Source organism: Homo sapiens, chromosome 19, assembly GCF_000001405.40.
Source record: "Homo sapiens chromosome 19, GRCh38.p14 Primary Assembly".
Classification (NCBI taxonomy): Eukaryota; Metazoa; Chordata; class Mammalia; order Primates; family Hominidae; genus Homo; species Homo sapiens.
In genome coordinates, this window is record NC_000019.10 from 37,787,483 (window position 1) to 37,791,189 (window position 3,707).

Here is a 3,707-nt window from a genome sequence, read left to right on the forward strand (position 1 = left end):
TTGCAAGTTCCTGCCAGACTAAACATAAGCTTACCATACTATCCGGCAAAAAAAAATAAAAATTTAAAATATGTTTTATATACTTAACAATATATAAAGAAATATATATTTTCTATATATTTTAAAAATAATTGTTTTAAATTTTTTGTAGAGACAGGGTCTCCCTATGTTGCCCAGCCTGCAGAATCTATTAATTTAAAAAACGTTTTAAACTCTTGAACAAGGAATTATTTGAAGAGTGAAAAATAAAATGATAGAATATTGATTGATAAATTCCAAATGTTGAATATTAAATAATTTGGATTAATTTTAAATTCCGAAAAGCAAAACTTTAAAAAATATTTTTAAAATGTCCTAATCCCATGTCAATGCATGTTCAACAAATTCAAGAGCCAATTTCAGAGAAGAAATAAGTGGTCAACAACAAGTTCTTAGGTTTTGACTTTATTTGTTGACTATTTGTATTTGTGAATGGCGAAGTTTAGATTTTGTTTCTTTCTTCTTAGGGTATTGACTAATAATTTTATTAAGCCAGAGAGACAGTAAATAGAATTATTATCTATTTGTCCATTTTATCTGTTATAAATATTTCTTCCAAACTCACTTATCTAAAGTTTTCGGGTTTTTTAGCTGGCGCAGTGGCTCATGCCTGTAATCCCAGCACTTTAGGAGGCTGAGGCAGGAGGATCACTTGAGGTCAGCAGTTCAAGACCAGCCTGGGCAACATGGAAAAACTCTGTACCTACTAAACATACAAAAATTAGCCGGGCTGCCAGGCACAGTGGCTCATACCTGTAATCCCAGCAATTTGGGAGGCCGAGGCAGGCAGATCACCTGAGGTCGGGAGTTAGAGACCAGCCTGACCAACATGGAGCAACCTGGTCTCTGCTAAAAATACAAAATTTTTGGCCGGGCGCGGTGGCTCACGCCTGTGATCCCAGCACTTTGGGAGGCCGAGGCGGGCGGATCACGAGGTGAGGAGATCAAGACCATCCTGGTTAACACAGTGAAACCCCGTCTCTACTAAAAATACAAAAAATTAGCTGGGCATGATGGCGGGCGCCTGTAGTTCCAGCTACTCGGGAGGCTGAGGCAAGAGAATGGCCTGAACCTGGGAGGCGGAGCTTGCAGTTAGCGGAGATTGCGCCACTGCACTCCAGCCTGGGCTACAGAGCGAGACTCGGTCTCAAAAAAAAAAAAAAAAAAAAAAAAAAAATTATCCAGGCGTGGTGGCGCATGCCTGTAATCCCAGCTACTTGGGAGGCAGAGGCAGGAGAATAGCTTGAACCCCGGAGGCAGAGGTTGCGGTAAACTGAGATTGCGCCATTGCACTCCAGCCTGGGAAGCAAGAGCGCAACTCTGTCTCAAAAAAAAAAAAAAAAAAAAAAAAGCCGGGCACGGTGGCGCATGCCTGTAGTCCCAGCTACTCGGGAGGCTGAGGCAGGAGAATCCCTTGAGCCCAGGAGGCGGAGGTTGCATGAGCTGAGATCGCACCACTGCACTTCAGCCTGGGAAGTAAAAAGGTTTTTTTCGTTTTGTTTTGTTTAAACTGTTTTTTTTTTTTACCATTCAGATATATGGAATGTTTATAGATATCTACCAAGATAAATAATTACCATATCAAGGTTCTAAATTTTAAAAAATATTTTTTCCCTTTGTTACGTTTAGGAAGCCTATTCCAGGCCGGGGGCTGTGGCTCACGCCTACAATACCTGCATTTTGGGAGGCTGAGGCCGGGGGATGATGAGGTCAAGAGATCAAGACTATCGTGGTCAACATGGTGAAACCCCGTCTCTACTAAAAATACAAAAATTAGCTGGGCGTGGTGGCGCGCGCCTGTAGTCCCAGCTACTCGGGAGGCTGAGGCTGGAGAATGGCTTGAACCAGGGAGTCGCAGGTTGCAGTGAGCCGAGATCACGCCACTGCACCCTAGCCTGGCGACAGAGGGAGACTCCGTGTCAAAAAAAAAAAAAAAAAAAAAAAAGAAGAAGAAGAAGAAGAAGATGGCCGGGTGCGGTGGCTCACGCCTGTAATCCTAGCACTTTGGGAGGCCGAGGTGGGCGGATCATGAGGTCAGGAGATCGAGACCATCCTGCCTAACATGATGAAACCCTGTCTCTACTAAAAATACCAGAAAAAAAAAAAAAATTAGCCAGGCGTGGTGGCGGGCGCCTGTAATCCCAGCTACTCGGGAGGCTGAGGCAGAAGAATGGCGTGAACCCGGGAGGCAGAACCCGGGAGGCAGAGGTTGCAGTGAGCTGAGATCGCGCCACTGCACTCCAGCCTGGGCAACAAAGCGAGACTCCATAAAAAAAAAAAAAATCCTATTCCAGGCCAGCCGGGCACGGTGGCTCACGCCTGTAATCCCAGCACTTTCGGAGGCCGAGGTGGGCGGATCACCTGAGGTCAGGAGTTCGAGACCAGCCTGGCCAACATGGTGAAACCCCATCTCTACTAAAAATACAAAAATTAGCCAGGTGTGGTGGCGGATGCCTGTAATCCCGGCTACTTGGAAGGCTGAAGCACGAGAATCACTTGAACTCGGGAGGCAGAGGTTGCAGTGAGCCGAGATCGCGCCATTGCACTCCAGCCTGTGGAACAGAGTGAGACTCCGTCCCTAAAACAAACAAACAAGCAAACAAGCCTATTCCAAAACAAAAATAATGAAAGTATTTATTTCTTTGGATGTTTTTAAATAAAATTTTTAATCATATGTATTCGTGTCCAAAGGTGAAGAACATAATGTATTGAAGAATGTGGTGGGACTTAAGTCACTCCTATAGGACCTGAGTCCATTTACCTAACCCTTTTCTTTTACCCGAGTCAGGTTCCACCCAGACTCGCCTCCTACTGGCGCTGAGAACGCAGCGACTCCACCCTTAGCCTCAGGTCGGGGGCCCCAGCATTTGTCTGATCTGCGCTTGCGTACTCCTAGGCCAGGTGGCCACTCCCAGAGGTGTCCCAGGCTCGCGCGGTGGGCGGGGCGCGCGGTCCTCGTGGTCACATCCGTATTTCCTGTAGGTTTTTAGGACTCTGGACTCCACTTCTCAGGGTTGCCTGCGGTCCTGACTGTTCCGTCTTGGACTACATATTCCACGGGCGACGGAGAAATCTTGTACCTCTGGCTCCGTCTCCTGGACCTCTGCGCTGCCCGTGACCTGGTCCCACCTGAGGAAGAAGGCGGCGCGGGTCGCTGCCGGAGCTTCTGCAGCCCCAGCCCGCAGCCCGCGCGGGACCCTGGGTGGCGGTGAGAGTGGAGCTGCAGGAGGCACTCAGAGCGCGGAGGCCTCGGGCGCGGGCCGGACTTGTCTCCCACCTACTCAGGCCTTGGGGTGCTGGAGCTGCGAAGGAAGGGGCTCATCTCTAGGGAGACAGGTGGAGAACGTCTCCTTTGTGACGTGGAGACTGAGAAGGGTGCGTGAATGTGTTGTGTGACCGGGACATAGCGTGAGTGTCCTTTGAAAGCGTGCTTTGCTATAACTCTGTGGTGTCACTGACCCGTGGGTCAGGGTCTCAGTTTCCCTGTCTCCTCTCAGCCTCGTATGACTGCCACAGAGAAATGATCTAAGCGCAAAATCAGATACTGAGCCTTAGATGAAGTTTTCCAGTGAGAAGAAACGGATAGGATGGGAAGCTTAGAGCAGGAATTCCCTTAAGACGGTGTGATAGACTCTTTTAAAGAAAAAATATTCAGTCTTTAACACTCG